Source organism: Homo sapiens, chromosome 20 (genome assembly GCF_000001405.40).
Source record: "Homo sapiens chromosome 20, GRCh38.p14 Primary Assembly".
Lineage (NCBI taxonomy): Eukaryota > Metazoa > Chordata > Mammalia > Primates > Hominidae > Homo > Homo sapiens.
Window position 1 is genome coordinate 55,722,087 of NC_000020.11, and position 25,779 is coordinate 55,747,865.

At 38.9% G+C, this 25,779-nt stretch overlaps 1 long non-coding RNA gene across 2 annotated transcripts in view; it reads right to left on the reverse strand.

Moving 5' to 3' along the window:
• The window catches only part of LOC107984001 (uncharacterized), an 80,255-nt gene extending 57,310 nt beyond the window's left edge, over nt 1–22,945 (reverse strand). For both annotated transcript variants that reach the window (XR_007067757.1, XR_936884.3), the window contains exons 1-2: nt 22,824–22,945; nt 2,489–2,601 (exon numbers count right to left, since the gene is read on the reverse strand). This is a non-coding gene — a long non-coding RNA (uncharacterized LOC107984001). The remainder of the gene's footprint in view (nt 1–2,488; nt 2,602–22,823) is intronic.
• Between the last annotated feature and the right edge of the window lie 2,834 nt (nt 22,946–25,779).

Genomic DNA, 25,779 nt, shown 5'->3' on the forward strand with positions numbered 1-25,779 from the left:
AAAGGGTCCATGCTTTCCTGGCTGCCTCACAGAATTCCTCCTTACCCTTCCCTACTTCTCCCTGACTCCAATTAGAACTCCTTCCAAGGGTTAATTTCTTCATACATGGAAGAAAATAATAACATGGCAGCTGGCTATGGCTTTGAGCCTGTGAAACAAACGTCCCTAGGCGCAAAGAGACACAAAGGAGATTAGCAGACACCCTTTCATGGATGTGGGAGCCTCTTCACGGATTTAATTATCCTATAGGGGTATGCACATTTGTTTAGGCCATTTTACAACTCTGTAGAGACACAAGTTAACTTGTAGAAAACTGGTTATAGCAAAAATATTTCATGTCTATACACATGCAAAGTCTCTCCAGAGAAGGCAAAATTATTTCTCTCCCCGGTGTAGAAAAATTCAGTTTGTACCTATTTGTCAATTTATGCCAGCATCTTTAATCTATAGAAGCATTGTACTTGAATTCTCCTTTGAAGCAGTTGTTACAGTTCACTTATTAATAAGTAAAATCTTTGGCAGTTGTTCATTTGTATCTGTATGAAAGCCATGATCCTTTTTTTTTTTTTTCTTGAAAATTATCCTCTAACACCTGGTTAGCTGCTTGAAACAGCAGAGAGAGGAAAATAAAGGAACAACACAAGCTAATAGTTCAATAAAATATCTCGTCACCTCCATTTATTCTTTCCTTTTTCCCATCACATACAGTCTATGCGTGACTGTGGCACTGTACAATACAGCTTTTAACTTGAGATGCAGATTCTATTTAGTTCTGGATTCTCCTTTCCAGTCCTTGAGGCTAATTCTTAGACTTTACACTCTGAACACCAGCTCTCAACAAATCTATGGATTCCTCCCTTGGTGGTCTACATTAACAATTTCCCCGGAGAGTAATTGCGAAGACCATTTGTGTTCATTTTGCATAAAAATGACAGAACCGAACAGAATTTGCATAGGCATCCATCTGCCATGCTTGAGCTAAAATATTACCCTTCAAAATCCCAATTCAACCAATTTTGAGTGACTGCCCAAAATTTGTGGCCAAGCCTGTCACCTCTCTTCTCAAATGACATCCACGGTACCCCGTTGCCTGAAGAGTAGGTTCCAAACCAGTTACTTCGATGCTTTCAAAGTCCTTTGGCATCTGGCTCACTCTATCCTGTGACATAGCACTCCCCACAGAACACAGAAGTTATACAAAAGACCTATCATTTCCAAGCATAACAGGTGATTTTTGTGTCTTCTATTCTCGATTCATGCTGTGCCCTCCACCATGCGACTCCTTTCTCTGCCTTCTGAACTTTTACTCTGCAAATCTGAGCTTAGATTAACCTGACCCTCTCTGTTACCCTTTCCTCCCCAGTAAAATTCCATGGACCTCATATCTGTAATCTTATAACACTTCAACCATATCACAAATAAAACACCTGATCATAGTTAAGATCAGCTACAACATTCGCAGGGCTCAGGGCAAAAAGAAAAATTGTGGGGTCCCTCATTCAAATTTATTAAGATGTCAATAGAAGCATTAAACCAAGTGCAAGGTCCTTCTGAGTATAGGGTCTGTGGGACTGCACAGGTCACACTCCCTTGAAGTCTGTTCACAGTTCTCATAAGTATTTGCTCACATGTCAGCCTGAGCCCCGTGGCTTTTCACCGCCTGAGAATTAAAAATCAAATCCTAAGCTCCCCAAGTGGACTGAATGGACCCCCTCTTGGTCAAGGGGAACCAAGAGAAGTCATTTTTTTTTTTTTTTTTTTTTGAGACAGTATCTTGCTCTGTCGCCCAGGCTGGAGTGCAGTGGTGCAATCTCAGCTCACTGCAAGCTCCGCCTCCCGGGTTCACGCCATTCTCCTGCCTCAGCCTCCTGAGTAGCTGGGACTACAGGCGCCCGCCACCACGCCCAGCTAATTTTTTTGTATCTTTAGTAGAGACAGAGTTTCACCGTGTTAGCCAGGATGGTCTCCATCTCCTGACCTCGTGATCCTCCTGCCTCGGCCTCTCAAAGTGCTGGGATTACAGGCATAAGCCACCGCGCCCGGCCCCAAGAGAAGTCTTCACAACTGAGTTCCTGGCTATGACTGGTCAGAAAGTCAGGCAAGCCTCATTATAGCTCCTCCCTCACTAACTGCCATTCGACTTGCTTTCCTAAGGGCTAAACAGAAACCAGCCCTTTTGAAAGATGTGCCATACTCCCCTCCCTTCTTGTGGTTTTGACAAAACAACTGACCGGCATTTCTTCTTGATAAGAGAAAGGGACTGGCTCTGGCTAGTCTACAGAGACTGTGCATGAGATGCCTCTGTGTCCTTCATATCACCTTTTCATGTATCAAGCCAAACTGGAATGCATTTAAATGTTAAGCCTCCACCCCAAAGTGAACACGGGACATATGCAACACACATTTGCTTATTACACACGTGTGCACCCTCCTTTGTGACTGTTTATAGTTCCTCCTGTTACCTGTTGATAACGTATACTTAGCCTACCTGTTCAGCTTCAATTCCTGTCTCATCCTTCCTTCTCTGAAGTGCTCGCGTCTGGTTTTTGCCAGGGGCTGTGCTTCCCAGCCTGCAGGATGGCCAGGCTGCAGGCTGCAACCCTTTATAAAAAATGAAAAGGAGACGAATAGCATCAGGATAAATAGCTAATGCATGTGGGGCTTAACACCTCAGTGATGTGTTGATGGGTGCAGCAAACCACCATGGCACATGTTTTCCTATGTAACAAACCTGCGTGTCCTGCTCATGTATCCGAGAGCTTAAAATAAAATTTAAAAATTCAATTTAAAAAAGGCAGTGTCAGAGGCATTGGAACCAGAGCGACTCCATCTTGAGTGAGGGCTGGAAAATGAGGCTGAAACCTGCTGGGCTGCTTTCCCAGAAAGTCAGACATTCAGAGCCCCTAGATGTTTATGGTTAAGGAACAAATTAATAATGTTTACTAAACAGACCCAGACTTGGGAGTGTCCAGATATCCCACTATCTGGAGAACAAAGGCATTCCTAATTTTGCTTTAAAGATAATAATATCGATTCTTGCAAAATATAATAAGAAAATTAATCCTTACCACAAAAATTAATACCACAAACCATTGTACCAGAACACACCTGCCCATATAATCAAGCATTGTACCTAGGGTGGATGCGTTCCTTCTCTTACTTTCAGGAACATCCTACTCTGTCTATGGAGTAGCTGTCCTTTCACCATTTTACTTTCTTAATAAAATTGCTTTCACTTTGCACTGAGAACTCGCCCTGAATTATTTCTTGCGTGAGATCCAAGAACCCTTTCTTGGGGTCTGGATCAGGACCCCTTTCCTGTAACAGCAGGCTTTGGAGGGGAAATTGTTACAATATTTTTGAAAAATAATGGACATTATCTAATAAAATCTAAAATATATTAAAAAAATAAAGCTCTCCTTTCCAAATGTATAAACATTGTGGTTCACCAGTTGATAGCCCTGCCCCCATTGCAAATCTTCAGTTTTCTCATTCTGAACCTCTTGGTCACTGTGAGTTTTCTCTTGCTGGTGTAACAAATTACCAAAAACTTGGTGGCTTAAAACAACACAAATTTATTCTCATACATTCTGATGGCCAGCAATCCTAATTCCCTGTAACTGGACTAAGATCAAGGTGTCAATAAGGTTGGTTTCTTCTGGAGGCTCCAGGGAAGAATACATGTCCCTGCCTTTCCCAGCTTCTAGAAGCTGCCAGCATTCCTTGACAGGTGGCCCCTTCCTTCATCTTGAAAGCACATGACTCCAATATTTTCTTGCTTTGTTACATCACTTTCTCTCTGATTCTGACTTCTCTTGTCTTCCTCTTATAGACTCCTATGGTTACATCAAGCCCGCTTGGATAATCCAGCATGATCTCCCCATCTCAAAATCATTAACTTAATCACATCTGCAAAGCAATTTTGTGCTATATAAGGTGATAGTTATAGGTTCTGAGGATTAGGACATGAATTTGTTGGGGATGGGGGAGGTTATTTTTCTGTCACCACAGTCTCCAAGGCAGGGTATCAAGTGCAGGGCTCAGGCACACAACACAGATGCAACACAGTGCAGGCTGGAAGGGCCAAGTGCTGGATCAGCAGGAAGTCCTAAGCAACACATAGAGAGGCATGATTGGCCTGGGTTTGGAGGGGTAGACTCTTTTCACTACTCTCCCTGTAGTTGGAATCTTGGGCAATCAGCCTTGTAATATTGTAAGAAGGAGGGTGAGCAATGGGGAGGTGGGAGAGGAACCAGAGGCAAAGTCGCAGAGTGTTGAGTCAGAAATGGCGAGAGAAGTTGACAGGGAGAGGACACTGAGGGGACACAGTGGGGCAGCCTTGTCATCTGAGCCTGGACACTAGCTGTTCAGAGGAACTGCATGGCACTAATAGAATCTGGAAACCAGGAGGTTGAGGGAGAGGGCCCCCAGTCCTGGATAACTCATTGCAAGACAGCCTATAGGGCTGAAACAGAGCTGCAAGATTTAGCAAATGAAAACACAAGATGCCAAGCTAAGCTCGAATTTCAGATGAACAATTAATTTTTTAGTTTAAGTATGTGCCATGCAATTTTATCTGGCAACACTAGCCTAGAGAGAGCCATTATAGGCCATTCAGCATAAAAACTCTATTCCTAGGCCACACATAGACAGAATTAGAATTCACTGGGCATTCTAAGTCCTAACAGGGGACCTATTTACCACTTTCTTAATATGCTCATGCTTTCTCTTTCTTAGCCTTCTGCAAGGAATGAGCTTCTTCTATTCCAGCATGAGAGAGCTTGGTCATCCTTCAAGTCTCAGTCAAGGTTGAGAAATTGATTCACCTATCCCCACACTCAGCCTGGACGCTAAGAGCTGAAAACAGGTCCCCTTCCCAGGCAAACTGTTTGAATGTTCATTACAAGAACCTCCCAAAAGATCTATCAACTCTTTAATGGAAAACATCCATACACAGTTTAACCCTAAGATTCTTTGAAGCCATCACCCCAAAATTGCTATTTCCACTAATTCTGGTAATCCTTATCCAATTCTAATCAAGACCCTCTTTCTTAAAAAAACAAACAAAACAAAACAAAAAAAAAACTTTCTTAAAATTTCCAGTTCTCAACAAATTCTGACCTTACTTTTTCCTCTCTGAGACAGTTCCAAAGTTTGGGAGATGATGGTCTTCCTTACCAGGGCAAGCGAGAAACTCAGCTTTGTCCTATCAATAAGTTGTCCTGGTGATATGTGAGGAGCCAGATGTTAACAAGGTGCCACCTCCTCCTTTGGGAAGCCCTCCTGGTTAATTCCAAGGGTAAGAAATCACTTCAGGCAGACCCAGAGCTCTTCATTAGGTTCCATCAGGTCCCCATAGCAAGCATCACAGGCTTCCGTGGAGCAGAGTTATTAGTGAGCACAGCTGAACAGAGCTGAGCACCCCACGGGCAGAAGACCTGTCTCCTCTGAGTCTATACCTTCCGTGGGAACCAAGGCCTTTACCTCCTTCAAGAGCTGCTGAAACGTCACTGACATGAGGCAGACAAATAAGAGAAAAGGCACACAAATGTATTTAATGTGTGTACACAGAACCTATAGAATGAAGACTCAACCCCCACAACAAGGAACAGAAAAGTATATATCATCATGAGGTTACAGAAAAAAATGCAGGCTGAGCACATGGCCAAAACCAGATTATTTTGGTAAATCAGGTTTTAGTGGCAAACCAGGATATGGGAGGGAGAAAGGAGGGGGCTTGGCCAGCAAAGGTGGTCTTGTTATGTAGATAAAGCCTCATAGGTAGCAGCCCTCAGAAAGAATAGACAGTAAATGCTTCTTTTCAGACTTTTACAGATGTCAGACTCTCAGTTTCTGTCTCCTAGACCCTGGAAAGGCCTAGAAAGAGAAGGCCTGGCTGCATTAATGGAGATCTCTACAAATGCAAATTTCTCTCCCCTCTCTGCTGCCTCTGCAACAGCCATTTCAAAATATGTCAAAGAAATATATTTTGGGGTAAAATATTTTTTATTTCCTTTAACTTCCAGTATGTCTGACCCACAAAGGGTAATCAATATACATGTATGAAAGAAAGGTTAACAAGGAACTAGAGAAATAATATTTGATTGTAGTGAAGTCCTATAAAAAAAATTTGTGCTTCAGTGGAAAATGATGCTCTGCCTACAACAAACCAGTCAGGGCTACCTAACTCTGATTCTAGGGGAGCTATTTACAACTCTGTAAATTGGAGATAACTTCTAGCAGTCCAAAATAATTCTTATGTATGGCATGCAAATCCCGTCCAGTACAGACCCAACTGATCTCTGTATTAGTCTATTTTGCATTGGTATAAAGGAATATTTGAAACTGGGTAATTTATAAAGAAAAGATAATCATTTGGTTCATGGTTGTGCAGAATGCACAAAAAGCATAGTGCTGGCATCTGATTCTAGTGAGGCCTCAGGAACCTTACAATCATGGCAGAAGGTGAACGGGAACATGTTACATGGTGAGAGAGGGAGCAAAAGAGAATGGGAGGGGTGTGACACCCTTTTTACAACCGGCTCTCACGTAACTAACAGTGAGAATTCATTCATTACCGTGAGGAAGGCACCAAGCCATTCTTGTGGAATTTGCCCCCATGACCTAAACCCTTCCCACTAGGCCCCACCTATAACATACGGGGACACATTTCAATGTGGGATTTGGAGAGGACAATTGTCAAAGGCATGTGAACCAGAGCAACTCTATCTTGAATAGGAGCTGGGCAAAATAAGGCTGAGACCTATTGGGCTGCATTCCCAGATGGTTAGGGCATTCTAAGTAACAGGATGAGGCAGGGGGTTGGCACAAGATACAAGTCATAAAGACCTTGCTGATAAAACAGATTGCAGTAAAGAAGCCTGCCAAAACCAAGATGGCAGTAAGAGTGACCTCTGGTCGTCCTCACTGCTACACTCCCACAAGCACCATGACAGTTTACAAATGCCATGGCAACGTCAGGAAGTTACCCTATATGGTCTAAAAAGGGGAGGCATGAATAACCCACCCTTGTTTACCATACCATCAAGAAATAACCATAAAAGTGGGCATAGAGTCCCACTTTTATGTCTATGGAGTAGACATTCTCATATTCCTTGACTTTGCTAATAAACTTGCTTTCACTTTACGAATCGCCCTGAATTCTTTCTTGAGTGAGATCCAATAACCCTCTCTTAGGACCCTCTTTTGGGGTCTGGATCAGGACCCCTTTCCTATAACACAACCATCCAAACTATATGAATGTCCCTCCCTTGATATGGAAAAAGCTAGTGTTGCCTCCATTTGCATCCTCATTCCAATATTTCTGATGTATAAATGTCTCTTATTTCCATTTTCATTTGAGCCAGCTATAAAATCTTTCTGGCTTTCTCATTTAATTAATGAGCTCAGAAAAATTTTAAACATGTATTTCTTTCTATAGCTGCACAAAAATTATTTTACATTTTTAAAAATTGCTTTTTCACAAAGTCTAATTCTAATATAAGAAACACAATTAAGATTTTTAAAAATGGGGTCGCATGGAGGGAGGGAGACTAGGATGTTCTTTCAATGTTCCACTCAGCTGGACCAAATTTTAGAGAGGTTTCTTTCTGACTATAGCCCTCACACCTCCTTTATCTTAGAGCATTTACTTTAGAAAACTTTCTCAAGGACTTGGGAGGCATCGCTTTGAAATGTCATTCTCAAAAATGATAGGGTCCCTACCTCCCAGTCTTTGCAGGGTTGTGGGTGAGGAGGAGACAAGGGGCCTTAATCTAGAAAAGTGCTCATTAGCAAATGCAAGTGGCCTAATCACATTGACCAGCCCCCATCCCTCACACTCCAGCACTTAACAACTTGCCCACCTTTTGTTTCAGTGGAATTGAGTTCAATCTCTTTCCTACTGCAATAGTCTTGACCTCTATTGCAATGGTCTTGAATGGTCTTCCTTACCTGCTTAACTCTATCCAGTGCAATTTTTCTTAGATAAGAAAGGAAAGAAGGAAATTGAAAAGGAAAAAAAAAAAAACTTAAGCAATAAAATCCCAATTCTATGTGGAAGATGAAAATAATGCATTTCAGTGCGTTTAATTAATTTGCAAATTCAGGATCTGCACCCAGATCTTCAGTCCGTATGAGACCTGTGCTTTTGGCACTCTCTCTCTTGTTTAATCCTGTGTTCCATTGACAGACAGAGCAGAAATATCTACTTGTAAGAGCGGCTCTCAATTTTTGAGTATGCTTTATTCCACCAAAACCCCCCAGGCCAGGCTGTTTGTGGCCTTGGCTAACAGATATGCCAAGGGCCATACAACAGCTTTTCTTTGCCTCTGTGTTCTGTAGGTCCAGAGGCAGGCAGAGGATGAAACATCTTGGATTGTCCCTGACGGTCAGAGATCTGCGTTACCAGAAAGCCCTTCTCAGGATTTGTATTCTGGCCACGTGTGGAACTTAACTGCATATCAGAAACGTGCTGGTGATTGCAAGTAGCTCTGTAAAATATTTATTCAATATTAGCTTGCAATGTGTACTCCCATTAGGTAATGGAACTGGAGAGCTTTGGCTCAAAAGAAAAGAACAAGTGTGAGCATGAAAGCATTAGGAGTCAACTAAGTTTTCTGAATTTTTAGATCACAAAAGATATATACCAAACCCTCAAAATTAGAAATGCCATTACTTTTTCAGTCACTAAAGGAAGAAAACAAGGGATGAGGTCAGCACTGTGGAGGTGACATTTTCTGCATTCACTTTTTATCTTTGCAAGAAGATATGATAAATATTTTCTTTGATGAAAAGTAATCTAAAAATTGCAGATAAATTAAAATTCAACTGACAAACTTTTTTTTTTCCTAAGAATGAGATCTTTGGGAGAAAAATAAGATATTTTTATATGGGTAGCAGATTCATTTATTCATTTAACCAACATGCATTGAGGAAATTAGCTAGGTGCTAGGATATAGTATTTTTTAAAATGATGCTGATTTATAATATAGTGCAAAAGACAGCTATCAATAAAAATTATCACATGGATAAATATTTACTTATGTATTTATTTATTTTGAGACACAATCTCGCTCTTGTCACCCAGGCTGGAGAGCAATGGTGTGATCTTTACTCACTGCAGCCTCCATTTCCTGGGTTCAAGTGATTCTCTTGCCTCGGTCTCCCGAGTAGCTGGGATTACAGGTACACACCACCATGCCATGCTAATTTTTATATTTTTAGTAGAGATGGGATTTCACCTTGTTGGGCAGGCTGGCCTCAAACTCACAACCTCAGGTGATCCACCACCTACCTTGGCCTCCCAAAGTGCTGGGATTACAGGCATGAGCCACCTTGCCTAGCCAGAAATTATCACATGGATAAATATTTAAATACAAGCTGATCTAAGGCTCTGCAAAGAAACAATTTGTCACTTTGACAGCACACAATAAGAGTTTGACCTCTGCTTCAGGCTTCCCTGAGAAAGTGATTTTTAGTCAAGAACCTTAGGGATGACTACAAGTTGACTAGGTGGAGGAGCAAAAGAAGGGGCCACGGTGGGCGACCACGTGTGCATACTGAAAACTAAAGCCGGACCACTGGCAGTTGCCAGACGAAGCAATGATTTATAGGTCAAATTAACGATTTTGGTCTTCCTCTCAAAAGCAATAGAAAGTCATGAGGGTTTCCGAAGACTGCCTTTTGCAAAGATCACTTTGGCTGCAGTTTGGAAAATGGTTTCAGAGCAGGTGGAAGACTGAACATCAAGGAGACTAGTTGGGTGTTAGCGACCAGCTAGTCAGGTGAGAGGTTCTGATAGCTTGAATAGGAAGGTGGCCATGAATAGGGAGAGAAATGAACCACTCTGAATAACAACAAGATTTAAATTAGCACCCATTAAATAACTAAATCAAAGCCAATTAGAGCCCCTTCTGGAAAACTGCATGGGTGACGGGAATGGCCGGCCATTTTGGTAGTTTGTTAGAGTGGCTGTGTTGATAAATAAGAACGCTTTCTCACCTTTAGGCAGTTATTACTAAATCGCTCATTCTCAAACCCTTTCTTCCAAATTATCAAAGTCTTTCTTTAAGACCAGAAAAGGTATTTTTTGTCCATAATTATTCATCTCAGAATTGTCATTGAGGCCATGTGAACAAAGTCCTCTTGCTCCAGGCAATTCAGAGAGACTGTAGAATCCTCCACTAAAATGGTATTTGCACTTATCCTAGCAAAAGGAAGATATGAGTTTTTTCACTATTGCTATAAGGCAGGTTAAAGCCATGCAGTCTGTTTATCAGGTTGTAGAATTGTTCTAATCCTGGAATTGTGTACCTTAACCTATGCTTTACAGTTTTGTATAAAGTTGGCCAAGAGGTGGGATGTTTTTCAGAAAAAAAAAAAAAAGGTATTGAATTAAATATCATTCAGAGAAGTGGCAACTGAATGCCACCATCGCTTGCTGGTATATGATGAGGTAACAATTCTAAAGTAGTGTGTTTTAAACTTTATCATGGAAATCATTTCCCAGCAGTCCTAAATCCAGGATCTGGGATGGAGCCTAGGAGTCTTCACTTTGAACGATCACTCTGGAAGATTCTGACTCAGGTAGTCCTAGAAACACACATAGGAAATACTCTACAGCATAAAAGCCTCTTTTAATCCTCAGCTGAATTCAAGAAAATATCAAATGGTTCAAATAGGTCCAGTGACTCTATTTGAAATACAATATTTGGGCTCAGACAGAGCACCTCTGAAAATCCATCCTTTCTACAGATGAAATGTTTTCTGGGTACTCTGCTTTGCTTTCTTTAAAATTCTACACAGTATTACATACACTTCACTGACTTAACATTTTCTCTTCCATAAACTTCGACAAGTTGTTGATGTATTTCTGCACAGAAACATTTTTTTTTTTTACTTTGAATAAAACCAACACTTCCTGTAGGGATTATGGGTTTAGGAAAGAGATATTTTTTAAGTAAGAGAATTTCAAAATTGTAGCAAAATTAGTGTCTAGTGGTCCAAACTTTGCCTGTAATGAAGAGAGGTGATGAAGAGATCAGGGTTCGGGGAAGGTGCTGGCTCCTGCCTACACCCCAAGACAATAGTAATGACTTCTCCTCAGAAGTGAAAAAAATGAAATCCTATAAAATTGATGGGATTAACCATCTACTAAGAATAAACTACCAGTTTGTCAGAACATATGTTAACAGACGCTAATTGTTGGATATGGAAGAGTTTCTTAGAAATGATCTTTGTGTCCTAAATAAGAGAAAAATAAACTAGTAATTAAAACATGGTCTACACACAGTGTGACTGTGGGCATTTGATAATCTTGCTAAGCCTTGCTTCTCTTATTGATAATGCGTGGAAGGAGAAATAATTATGTTGAACAAATTTTATTTTATATGGATTAAATAACATTCACTATAATATACTTAGATGCTACTTAATGTCATTCTGTGGTTTGGTATTTTTGTTGTTTTATATTTTTTGACTAGGATTAATAACATTAAAAGTCAGTTTCTTTCCTATATAGTCATTTAAACCAGTTAAATTTTATTATGGAGAAGATTCCATTTGCATAGCAATAAAAACTACAAATTACCTAAGAATAAACTTTTTTTAAAAAAGTTTAAGACCATAAGAAAAAACTATAAAGCTTTACTAAAGAAAGACTAAGATAAATTCAGTATTATAAATCTATCCATTCTTTTAAGATTAATAATCTCACCAACATCACATTGAATAGAATTCTCATAAAATCCTCATGGTATTTTTTTTTTTATAATTTGAGAAGTTGATTCTAAGTCCATCTGAAAAAGTAAACGTAGAAAAAGCAGCAAAATTATCTTGATAAAGAATTTGCATTACCAGAATCAGTATATATGATGTAAAAGCCACAAGATTTTAACAATGTGAAATGGATGCAGGTATATGGATGCAGGTGTTTGTGTATATATACATGTGTGTGTGTGTGTGTGTGTGTGTGTGTGTGTGCGCGCGCGCGCATGTGTGTGTATTTTAATTTAAGCTAGTTTTAAAAGAGTATCTCATTTGCTCCTAAAACAAAACAAACAGACTACTACAGTGTTGATCAATATTTGGCCCCAAGTTTTCATGTCATGAAATTGTCTTATATAAATATTTGATATATTTCCTATATAGAAAAATGCCAGAAGGTACACTAAGCATTATATCATTATGACATTATTTTTAATTGTAAAAAAAAAAATAGACACAACCCAAATACCTTCAGATAACGTGTATCTGAGCTTTTTTAGTATAGCTGAGAAATTGCCTGCTACGTCTCACCTTCTCTCAGATAACATAAGAGCTGGGGTAGGGGAAGCCTGAAAGTACTAGTGTATTAGTCTGTTTTCACACTGCTATAAAGAAATGCCTGATACTGGTAATTTATAAAGAAGAGATTTAATTGAGTCACAGTTCCACATGGCTGGGGAGGCCTCAGGAGACTTACAATCATGGTGGAAGGGGAAGCAGGCACCTTCTTCACAAGACAGCAGGAGAGAGAAGTGTTTGAAGGAGAAACTGTCGGACATATAAAACCATCAGATCTTGTGAGAACTCACTCACTACAATGAGCTACTACTACATACCCACTAGAATGGCTCAAATGAAAAAGACTGACAACACCAAATATTAGCAAGATTGTGATGCAACTAGAGCTCTCATACATCGTTTGTTGGAATGTATGGTCATACAACCTTTTTAAGAAAATTTCTGAATGTGCAATTACCCTATTACCCAGCAAACTAGGAAATTTTACTCGTAAGTATTCCCTCTAGAGAAACTAAAACATATGTCCACACGAAGACTTGAACAAGAATGTTTGTTCATAGTGGCTTTATAGAAGCTCAGATATTCACAAACAAAGGAATAGTATATTCATACAGTGAAATATTATTCAGCAATAACAAGGAACATATTAACTCACATAATGTGAATGCATCTCAAAAACACCATTCTGATTAACAGAAGCCTTATACAAGAGTATAAACTCTGTGATTCCATTTATATAAATTCTAGAAGAGGCAAAATTAATCTATGATTTTTCAAAAATTTAGAAGAGTGGTTACCTCTGGGTGGGGTTAACATTGGGAAGGGGCAGGCAGGAACTTTCTAGACTAATAAAAAGATGTCTTGATAAGGATTTGGGTTATACAGTTTTGTTGGTTTTCTGTGGCTGTTGTAAAAAATTACCACAAACTTGCTGGCTTAAAATAATATAAATTTATTCTCTAACAGTTGTGGAAGAAGTTCAAACAGAAGTCTGAAATCAATTCCAATGGGCTGAAACCACGTGTCCTAGAACAATGCCTCCTTGAGAGGCTCTAGGGGAGAGCAGCCCATTTCCTTGCTTCTTTCAGCATCTTGAGCTGCATTTTTTGCTTTTTCAGCTTCAAGCCTGTATACCTAGGCTCAAGCTCCTTCCTCCATCTTTAAGACCTGTAAGGTAGCATATTCAAATTTTCTCTATCCCTGTTTTTCTCCCTCTTTCTCTTTTTCTCTCCCTCTTTCCCTCTGCCTTCTTACCTCCATCCTTCCTCTTTCTCCTGAGATCATCACATTGCTTTCTCTCTTCGCTGTGTATCAAACCTCCCTTTGCCCCTCTCTTATAAGGACATTTGTCATAGCATTTAGGACCCACCCAGATAATTCAAGAAAACATCCCCATCTCAGGATTCCTAATCAATTATGTCTGCAAAGTCTTTGGCATCTTAACATTCACAGTTTCCAGGGATTAGGACCTCCTATCTTTGGGGGCCACTATTCAGCTTACCACAAGAGGTACATGGATTTGTCCAAATTCAGCAAACACACAACTAAGATTTGTGCATTTCATTGCACGTAAATTTTACATCAAAAGAAACCAGCTGTACATAATTACTGAACTTTGATTATAATATGCAGGTCAAATTACTTAGGGGAAAGTGTATGAAGGTTACATAGATAAAGAAGCAAGTATAGCAAAATCTTAATGTTAGAATCTAGGTGGTGGGTATATATGTGGCCATAATAAAATTCTCTTAACTTTGCTATATTAGAAAATTTTGAATGCATAGTTTTTAAAAATTTTCTCCAATTCTGTAGGTTGTCTATTTACTCTGTTGATAGTTTCTTTTGCCATGCAGAAGCTCTTTAGTTTAATTAGATCCCATTTGTCGATTTTTTTTTTGCAATTGCTTTTGACATCTTTGTTACAAAACGTTTGCTCAGGCCTATATCCTGAATGGTATTGCCTAGGTTGTCTTCCAGGACTTTTATAGTTTTGGGTTTTACATTTAAATCTTTAATCCATATTGAGTTAAATCTTGTATATGGTGTAAAGAAGGGGTCCAGTTTCAATCTTCTGCATATTAGCCATTTATTGAATCAGGAAGTCTTCCCCCATTTCACATGGACAAATAGAAGGGAACAACACATACTGGGCCCTTTAGGAGGGTGGAGGGAGGCAGGAGGGAGAAGATCAGAAAAAATAATTAATGGGTACTAGGCTTAATACCTGGGTGATGAAATATGTACAAAAAACCCCCATGACCCAAGTTTACCCATATAACAAACCTGCAGTTGTAACCCTGAACTTAAAAGTTAAAAAAAGAAAATTTTAGGTAAGTGCTTTGCCTGAAATTGTCATAATACATTGAAAAAATCAAGGCATGTCCATTCTAATATACAACTGTTAAAAAGAATGAGTTGAGTAGCGTAATGTGTGGCCCTATATATTTTTTGAAAATATCAAGTTGTAGAACAATAGATATAGTATACAAACAGGTGGCATATAATATATAGCTGTTTTTTTGTATGTGCAAAAGCTTCATAGGTATCACAAACTATCTCGATAAATGGAGAAATATATACTCTTTCCCCAGATTCCAAATAAAATAAGCAGTCTTCTTCATAAATCTTAATAAATCCTCATTTCGCTTTTACATATAAAAGAATGTACACATCAACAATAGCTAATGATATATGCTACTCCTTATTGAGCTCTCACTCTATAATAGGTACTTAGGATTAACCATGTATTACCTGAAACATATCAAGAAGAAAGACACCATCACTACTCTGATTGTGTAGATGAGTAAGCTTAACCAATAAAAGCTTGGAAGGATTTCACCTGGAGCTTCTATTTATCATTAAAGAAGAATAAATCAATTTTCTATATACTCCCAAGTCTTTTTTGAGTACAAATTATTTGTTCCAGTTTCTAGTTGATCTCTCCTGAAAAAAAATTTCTAAAACTTCAAAGTAAAGAACTATTCCCCAATCTGCAGTTCAAAATGCTGCCCAAATATACGAGGCCCCGTCTAACTGGACATTACCCTATGCAGATGAAATCTCTTTCTAAACCTTCTTTAACACCTACAAAGTTTAATACCTAACAAAATCTCATGGAGATATTTATTGAATGTTTACTACATACTAGACACTCTGCTTATTTTTCACTGTCTCATTTACATATTACAAAAATCTCAGGAGGTAGGACCTCTATGATACCACTATTATTTCTAGTTTGCAGATGAGGAAGCCAGTTTTCAGAAAGATTAACCAATGTGCTGAAGGTCTCGCAGCCGGGACTCATGCTAACATCAGCCTAGCATTAAAAGAATACTCTCCACTGTCTCTTAATAACAACAACAAAATAGTCTACTATAAAAGGTACTAATTAAACTTCCTAAAGATCTTGAATAACTCTCATACATCAGAGATGGATTCTAGGGGCACGAGCGATGATATTGTTTTCCTAAAAGTCTTTGTTCATCACTTTTATGCATTTCTGCTAGGGAAATCTAATTCATTTTTTTTTTCTTGAGATGTATTTTCTATCTATGGAAGATAGTTAATATTTATACTATATCCTACATTATTAGTGATGTTCCATATATATTGATATTTGGACCATGAATCATATATTTCATTATAACCCATACATCAAAGAACATCAAAGAAACACTCAAACATATACAATACTGATAATAATGATGATAACACTCAAACATATACAATACTGATGATAATAATGTCTAATATCTAACATCTCATGTTCCCACCATTTGACAGATTCAAAACAAAGTAAAATGTCTTTTGGAGCAACTTGGATGGAACAGGAGGCCATTATTGTAAGTGAAGTAACTCAGAAATGGAAAATCAAGCAATGTACATTTTCACATAAATGGGAGCTAAGCTATGGATACGCAAAAGCATACAGAGTGGTATAATGGACTTTGGAGACTCGGAAGGGGGAAGATGGAGGGGAAGTGAAGGACTAAAATTACACATTGGATACAATGTATACCACTCAGGTAATGGTGCACTAAAACTTAGAATTCTCCACTATATAATTCATCCATGTAACCAAAAACCACTTGTATCACAAAGACTATTGAAATAAAATCAATAAAGTAGTTGATGTAGAAAAAAAAAGTTAAATGTAGAACAGAAAGAGTAAGTACCTGTGGAAAATACCTAGGTTTTTTTTCTTTTCACTCACTCTTCCTATAACATACTATCCTAAATAGGAAGTATTTATTTAATAGCTTTAGTTTCTCCCATACCATTCTCCTAACTCTTAGAGAGACCAAAGTATACATGAATTAGTTTCTTATTTTAATTACAGTTTAATACTAACAACACCTGTTGGCTCCAAACTGAGAAACTTTTTTTCTCCTGATTCTCATCTGCTGACTGGACATTACTTTGGCAGTTTGTTTCTATAACAATTTCACTATCTGAAAAAATCTCACTCTCAAAGTAAAAGTGATTTTATCGCATTATGCAGATTTGCTTTCTCTCAGGTTTTAATATCAAGTTAGCATGTAAGTGTTTTCTACAATGAGAATTAAACATGCTGACTCTGTATAAGTTATGTTGTTTTAATAGTTAATATAATTTAATCCAAAGCTAATACTAGCCTAATTGGGTTTACTTGTGCCTTGGCTTAAGGTCTAGAATATAATAAACTTAAAGGTCTGAACACAGTGAGGTTAATTATGCTTAAAACCTGCAAAGCAGCAAGTTTTAGGTCCATTACACACACACACACACACACACACACACACACACACACACACACCCCCCAACAGGAAAATGAGTCAAAGAAATTCTTCCAGCAAGAAATGAAATCACGCCTTCCTTCTCAGGTCTGTGTGCCGCCATAGCTCAGGTTATAATATAGCACTTGCTTTTTTCCCACCTCTTGGTAGAGCTTTCTGCCAAATTATTTGTCCTCAAGGGCTATTCAGCTCACAGTTCTATGTTCAAAATGGTTCTCCAGTGCCTATGAAATTAAATATAAACAGCTTACTCTGGCTTTCCAGAATTCTCTAATTTGAACCCAATTTACCTGCACAAGCTCATTGCCCTCTACTTCACTGCATGATCTTTAGCTTAATTAAGGTAGCTTAAGTATTGTGCCCTCAACACTCAAGCAACTTCCCACCTCTGTTACTACCCACCCCTTTTCATGCTGTCCCAATTCCCTTTGGTATCCTCTTGATCATCCTGCTCGCCATTGTTCTTCCTTAGTCTTGCAGGGAACAATGGCAGGGTAAGGAAGTCAAGAGCAGGACACAGTCATAGCCCAGCTTACTGGACCTAAGTGCAACGCCACTGGCTTGCTTTTTGATGGCATTTTATATTTGCCTTGCATGCACATTTTCCAAAAGTGAAGGTTTAATGGATCCAGTTGTTCACCATAAAATATAGAATTATCTTATAGGACGCAAGTTAGTGTGAAGGAACCTCAGAGGTCGTTAGCTTTCCTTGGGTCCAGACCATCACAAATCTTTAGCCTGTGCATCAATCAGTCTTTCATCCAATCCACTGCTGTGGCCAAATGATTGGGCTGAGAGAGCAGAGTCCAACAGGAATGTGTGCAGGCATAGGCCAGATCAAGCCAGCAAAAGACACCTATAGCATGGCAAACATTGAAGACTTGTGGACTCCTTTCTGTCAAGTCCCCTTTTAGTACCCTAAATCCCACAGACAGATTCATTTGTTAAGAAATGAAAGTGGAGGAGAGTATGGATTCAGCAATAAAGAGGAATGAACCACGGACACACAAAACATCATTGACGAATCTCAGAAACATTATGCTGAGTGAAAGAAGCCAGATACAATCGAGTACCTACTGTATAGATCTATGTATAAAAAGACTTTGAACAGGCAAAACTAATCTATTGTGATAGAAATCAGAACAGCAGTTGCCTCATTGGGGATGCAGGGCTTGTCCAGGCAGAATCCCGTCAGACGCGAAAACGATCCGTGGTGATGTCAATGATTTACATCTTGATATGACATGAATTTCATAGGTATGCACATTTCCCAACTCATCAAACTGTATACTTCAAATTTGTGTATTTCACAATGAGGACATTATTCTTCTATATTTAAAATGAGATTTGGAAAGTCAATACAAGTTCTTATGCTGTTTTTCCCCATATGTAAATGAATTCTCTCATTTTCATTGGACTTTGAGGTGAGGAGCTGCATAGGCGTGTTCTCTGAAGTCAGAATTTCTGGGTCCAAACCCCAGTTCTACCAGTTTCTGGCTTTATGACTTTGAAGTTGCCCAAGCATTCTTAAGTTTAAGGCAATTTTATCCAAAGAACAATTATCATCATCATCATAAAAACCTCACAGAATTATTGTAAAGATTAAACAAAAGAGATAACACATATAAAATCTTATGTCTCAAGGACTAAGTATTCATCTATTAGCTGCAAGTGTCAATACCAGATTTAAGCACCTTAAAAGGTAAGGCTGTGCTTTCTTAGTCTTTTTGTTAGTCTCACCACACATTTCTGTGATCTGTGCTTCTCAATCACTGGGCTGTATGTACCAGGGGTGTGAATAGTAGATATGGAGGTTTTCCAACCATATAAAAATGACAACATAACTTAATATATGGTAGAGGTGGGAGTTAAAACACCTTAGATATTATAAATGCATGATATATTTGTGGAATAGAGTGAAATTCCTAGGTATGCTGAAGATAAAACAAGAGAGTTCAAAGTGGTTTCAGACATTCCCCTAGTGGCTTTCTGTTATCCCCAGAACTATCTTCTCTATTCTCCACTGATTTCAAGGTAAATTCAGTGGAGAAGTATTAGAAGTAACATGATACTGCTGAATTCAATCAAAATCTATATTATAGGTCATTTGGGATCTATATTTGGAATAAATATCTGCTAGTTCATATTAATTTATTGGCTTGACTGTATTAATCTACTTAATCTGTTAAGTCCTCAAATTTCAAGCAAGTAGCAATTCAATTATCCCATGAATGAAGGGAGGAACAATGTTGTGCACTTTGCATATTTTTAAAAAATTAATTTAAAAAAGGAAGTGTCAACAAGTAGTGGCTGGAGCCAATGTCATTGCCTGGGTTCTTTTGCCAAGTGGCTATCCATTAATGTTGGATCGTATGACAGACGTGATCCACTATCGATGTTGTCCAAATGGCAAGTTCCGTCAGTGAAGACTTTCAGGGAACAGAATGCTGAGGACCCATTGGTTCTTAGCGCTCTCAAAATTCATCCTGATTTAGCGTCAGGTGTTGTGGATACTGTACACATGAATGCTATGCACTGATCTGTAAAAGAACTCCTAAAATACTAAAAACAAACAACTTAGGTACAATCACATTATTTTAAGCTGTATTTTTCTTAGGGAGTGAGATAAGGACTGGGGCCCTTTTGGAAATTCTATTTTACACAGATGGAAACTGCCAAGATATGAAGGCTTGAGAAATCAACAGCCTTTGGGTTAGCTTAGGGTATATGCTCCCTGAATCCCAATACAAGAGCTCAGAATGGGCATCTGCTTAAGCACCCTGAATTGCTGTGTGTGCACTCCTATAACAGGCAGACACACACTCCTGCCTGGGCTGATCATCGTTCAGCACCATCTGCTTCACAGTCATTGGGTTTCCAAGTCATGCATGTAGATCCTTTACTTTAAAGCGTAATTGTTGATTTCCACACCCAGCCTTCCTTCGTCTGCTGCCATTTCTTCCATAGTTGGCACAATCATTCTGCAAGTATTCATTGACCTCCCACTATCTACAGCATAGCTTAGAAGTTAAAAGCACAGACTCCAGAATCAGACTCCCTAAATTTGATCCTGTACCATTTCCTGGCTTTCTGACCTTGGTCAATTCCCTTAACCCCTCTGTACCTGTTTCCTCTTCTATAAAATGGGTCTGATAGTAATTCTCAGCACATGGAATGATGTGAGCATAAAATGAGTTAACAGACGCAAAGCACTCAGTTTTGGCTAGCACATAGCATAACACCCGATAACTATTGCTGTTATTGTTGTTAGTATGGTCGGGGACTGATACTGAGGATATAGCAGTGAGCAAGACCGACTCTGCCTTACTTCTAGAGGGGCTCGTGGTCTAGTATGGAGAACAAAGCATTTAAAACATAAAGATAAAGTGAATGAAGGGTTATGTCATGGAAAGACAAAACAGAAGTACACAGGAAGAGCACCTAAAACAATCAGTCAACACTCTTTATGTACTGGTTCTTCCCCCAGTCTACGTAAGACATTTGTGGGAAAAGCAAGAAGACAAGACATATCTTTGTGGTTTAGTTGCTATAGGAGTAACCCATAAGGCACATAGAAAACATGAGCACCAAGTCATGGAGAGACGGCTGGGAACTTCAGCTACAACAGTGGTTCTCCATGAGGTACTTTTCCCAGGTGACGTTTGGCAATATCCAGAGATATTTTTGATTGCCACAGTGTGGGGGTGGGGGAGTTTGGCATCTAGCAAGCAGAGGTCAGGGGAGGTGCTAAACCTCTTGCATACACAGGACAGCCCCACAACAAAGAATTATTCAATTGATGTCACGAGTGCCAAAAATGAGAAACTCTGGTCTAGAAGGAGAGACTGGATTGTGATGAGTTTACAGGACAGAACGTAGGTCTGCTTTTGTGTCTGCTTTTCTAAATACTTATTATATACATTGATGTCTCCATCATTCAGACTGAAATTGCATTCATTTTAATATGCCACCCTGGAACAAACCTGTGGGAAAGATGTACAGCTGTTTTCTACCTGTAACTATTGAAGGCTATGAACAAATACCTTTTTTTAAAAAGTGACCACATTGTCTTACACCAATTTGCATAACCTACTGCAAATCATCCCTGGCCCTCCTGGACTATGCCATGGTGTCTTTCACGTAGTTTGTGCTTCAAGTAGACAAAAGCTTAAGGGGATAAACGTCGGGAGTTGAAGTGACACCCTGTTAAGTAGCTACTAGATTTGAATTTTCTCCCCAGGATTCTATAGTAAATGCTTAAATATATTATATTGTTACATAGAGCCCTAAATTGCACATAAAAATAATTCCAAGTACTGTATTTAACTTTAGTCTGATTTTAAAAGTAGTTTGCCAATTGCTTAAATTAAACAGGTATTTTATCAACTGGGGTTCCTACTAATTATGCTGTTCCTCTTATTAAAAATTACTCACTCTAGCATGTTTCAATTTCTGTAAAACAAAGAAAAAGTTTTTTTCACGTTTTTATTTTTAGAATGAAATGTGCAATGAAAAAGAAAAAAAAAACATATGTACAACATACCCTGTTAAAATAAGTATTTATCTTGGAAAGGCAAATGTATGGGTTCTGTATAGCTAGATTTAAGTACATCAAGCCTTTTAAACTCAATGACTGACTTACAGTCTGTGTAAAAAACCACCCATCAAAGGGGTAGAGCTCATTTAATTATTTACAAGTGTGTCTTTTTGCAGTTAACTGATCTGGGGACTTCTTTATCCTTTTTTATTTTGTGGAAAGTGTCAGTGTTAAGCACTGGGGCCAATATTCATTAAATTGTGAATACAGCTTTAAATGGATACAATCTTTCTTTGTCAATTATAGCTCAATAAAGCTGGGAAAGAAAAATAAAACAAAATAAAGTCAAATGAATAAAAGCCTAATGTAAACTATGGACCCTGGCTAACAATGAGGTGTCAGTGTAGATTCACCCATTGTGACACGTGTGCCACTCTGGTGCGGGTGTTGATAGTGGGGAAGGCTGTGCATCTGCGGGGAAATGGGGACAGGGGGTGTATGGGAACCTTTAGTAGTTTTTCTTTTCTTTTTTTCTTTTTTTTTTTTTGAGACAGAGTCTTACTCTGTTGCCCAGGCTGGAGTACAATGGCGGGATCTCAACTCACTGCAACCTCCGCCTCCCAGGTTCATGCAAGTCTCCTGCCTCAGCCTCCCATGTAGCTGAGATTACAGGCACATGCCACCACACCTGGCTAATTTTTTGTATTTTTAGTAGAGACGGGGTTTGCCATGTTGGCCAGGCTGGTCTCAAACTCCTGACCTCAGGTTATCCACCCACCCCGGACTCCCAAAGTGCTGAGAATACAGACGTGAGTCACCATGCCCGGTCCCTTTTGTACTTTTTACTCGGTTTTGTTGTAAACCTAAAACTGCTGTAAAATATAAACCTAAAAAACAACTATCAAAAACACTGTAAGAAAAGCAGATTAGTAAACTCATAGAATGTTAGTGTTGAGAGGGCCTTAGGAATAATTCAGTTTAGTATATTCAGGGTATAAGCAGGGAAATCCAGGCCCAGAGATGGGCTATGCCTTGCACCCAGCAATATGGTGAGTTCACGGTAAACTACAAACATCTGAGACAGAAAAATTCTACCATGGCCCTCAGTGAGGCCCTTGTTTAATCCCTTCCCCTGTGAACACGGTAGAATAATGTAAAAGTTCTTAGGTCTAGTCCAGTGAGATAGAACGCTCACACAAGTCAGGCAAAGCAGACCTGTCACTCACAGATAGGCAGCAAGGATAAACGGAAGTCTAGGAGCCATGACGAAGCTATCCTCCAAGGCTCAGGAAAGCTGCTCCGGGCAGATGGAGTCTCATCTACGCATGCCCCGCATCGCATCACAGCTGAGAAACCCCAGCACGGCTCTGGGTTTATATACCCTGGGCAGCACCTGGCTCACTGAGCCCACGTGCTGCAGAACACTCTGTTCTAGGAAGAATGCAGACATAGCCTGGGTTGTTCCGCACCCTTCCTCCTTATCTCAGGGTGCTACATTCTCAGTACATTCCGGAGTTATTCTGAGAATTACCAACAGGAGGTGGGAAAGCTAGGTCAGCCAAGGTCATCCAGGAATCTGTCCTCCTCCAAGTAATATTCCCTTGATTAGACTACATTATATGAAAATGTCAAAGGATATATTTGTAGACATAATTAAAAATCTTAATTGGTTAACTTTAAGTTAATTAAAAGGGAGACTATCCTGGGTGAGACTGCCCGAATCAGGAAAGCCCATTCAAAGAGGGTGCAGCGGTCAGAGACTCAAAAGAGTAGAGATACCCTCTTGTTGGCCTTGAAGAGAAAAACTGCCCTGTTTTGAGCAATTCCACATAACAGGAAACAGTGGGTGGCCTCTAGGAGCTGTGGGATTCAGTCTTATAATAGCAAGGGGCTAAATTGTTCCACCAGTGAGCTTGGAAGAGGACCCCAAGCCTCAGATGGGCGTGCAGCCATGGCCAGCACCTGATTTCAATCTGCTGAGATTCCAAGCATGAGAATCAGCTGCGTACTCAGACTCCTGATCTATGGAGACCGAGATAATAAGTGAGTGTTGTTTTAAGTCACTAAATTTGTGGTTAAATCATATAACACAGAAAATTAATACAATAACCTTGTTCTGTGATTTTCCACATTTATAACTGCCTCCCTCCCATCTGTGGGCCAGACCATTCTTAGATCCTTTGAGATGATATAGACATTTCAAGACACAAATTAATAGGGGGCAAGCAAAGGATTTTCACATGCCCTTCATTCCCCCTATCCAATCTCCCATTTTATAATGCCCAGATAGCTTAGGCTCAACTTCCAGGCCTCAGCTAAAGATTTAGGTGGGAATTCTGATAGTCCTAAGACTTAGTGCTGACTTTGCTATTTTGGCCTATGAAGACAATTAGTACAATTCATTAAAACAACGAAATAAGTTTAAATCCATACATCTATACTGATTCTAAAAATAAAATCAAATGAAAAAAATCCCTCATTGGAGAAATGTAGGAAATTTCTTTATTTTAAAAATGTTAAATAAAGGGAAAGACAAGCATGTATCTCCCTTTCCTATGTGGATTCAAACTCAGGGTAACTAAACAGCTGATGAAGAAACTTCTCTTTATAAAACGTTCCACTTCTTGGAATGAATGAAGAAGAAATTATAGAATTCAAACATCACTATTTAAAACTCCAGTAAATTAATGGAAGTTAGGCAATGATTATCAATGGCTGCTAATATCACTTAAAGAGGGAAAAAAACAGACAACTATGTGCCTCCTCATGGTCAAACCACCACCTATGAGATCAACGTGCCAAAAAAATGGAATCCGCAATGTAAAAAGCCTCTCAAGGTCTAATTTGCAGGAAATACCAAAGGCAGAGAAATACGTTAAAACCACCACGGAAATGCACCAATCAAAACTCAGACAGTGGGATATGCCTAGCATAAACAACATGGTTCTTTACAGATGAATTGCAAGGAATAAAAATAGAGATGGTAGAAGAATGTACACATTAAAACACACCTAAGAGATATATCAATAACTGCAACTTATGAATCTTATTTGAACCCTGATTCAAAGAAAGTATATATACACACACACACACACACACTACAACTGGGAAAATTTGAACACTGGATATTTGATGATATTACATATTAAAAATCACTGGAGCTTTTAAAAGATATTCCTGCTTATTTTTTGGAATGAGAGTTCTTGACTTTTAAAGATATGCTTAGTGACGTAATGATAAGGTATGTGAGATTTACTTCAAATAAATGTGACAAGATGCAGGGGTATGTGGGTTGGGTCACAGGTGAAACATAATTGGCCATGAGTTGAACAATGTTAGCTAGTAGACTGGTGCATGGAGGTTTAATATTTTTCCATTTTAAAAATATACTTAAAATTCTCTATAGTAGAAAGTTTATATACAAAAAGCAAAAACAATCATGTCACCCTCTACTTAAAATATTTCAGTGACTTTTTATTGCTCTTGGGATCAAAGACCAAAATCCTGCAAGGTTCTGAATAATCCAGCCTTCGCTTCCTACCCCAGCCTCAATAGATCTCATCTTCCTTCTCTCTGAGTTTCATCTGCAAAGGTCTCTCATTCTTCCCAAGGTTCAGCGTCTTTGTAGGCCCTTTCTCTTGCCAGAAATCCTCCTCTCCACCTACTTTTTCTTACTGAGTGAAACAATCCTATTAAACAATCTCATAGCACTATGTTCATTACCATTAAGGTATTTTTATTGGTAGCAATTACATATAGATTTGGTTGAGGATTTTATTAATATATGATTCCCAGCAGAGACCTGGTATGATTTGGCTCCAGTGCTTTGCTCCTAAAAGGTGAACAAAATACTTACATGCCAAGGAATGGAATAAATAAAATTACTCAAGAACATCCAACCAATTTTTGCTAAGTAATTTATGTGTAAAGGGATGTTAAAGATATACACAAATAAAAAAATTGAGAAAATGATAGTGCTCATAAAGTATCTTTTTCATGGGTGTTTGAGAAAGTTCAAAGATGAATGGAGAGACTACAAAGAGCTGTGCCACACTGGATCCCTCACACTGGGCTCCTCAGAGAGGAGAAGAAAGAACCAAAGTCAAAGCCTTTGTTGTGACACAATTTATGCAGCAGGGAGTCTGTGATAGCCAATGGGATTCTCAACAGCCCATGTCTGAA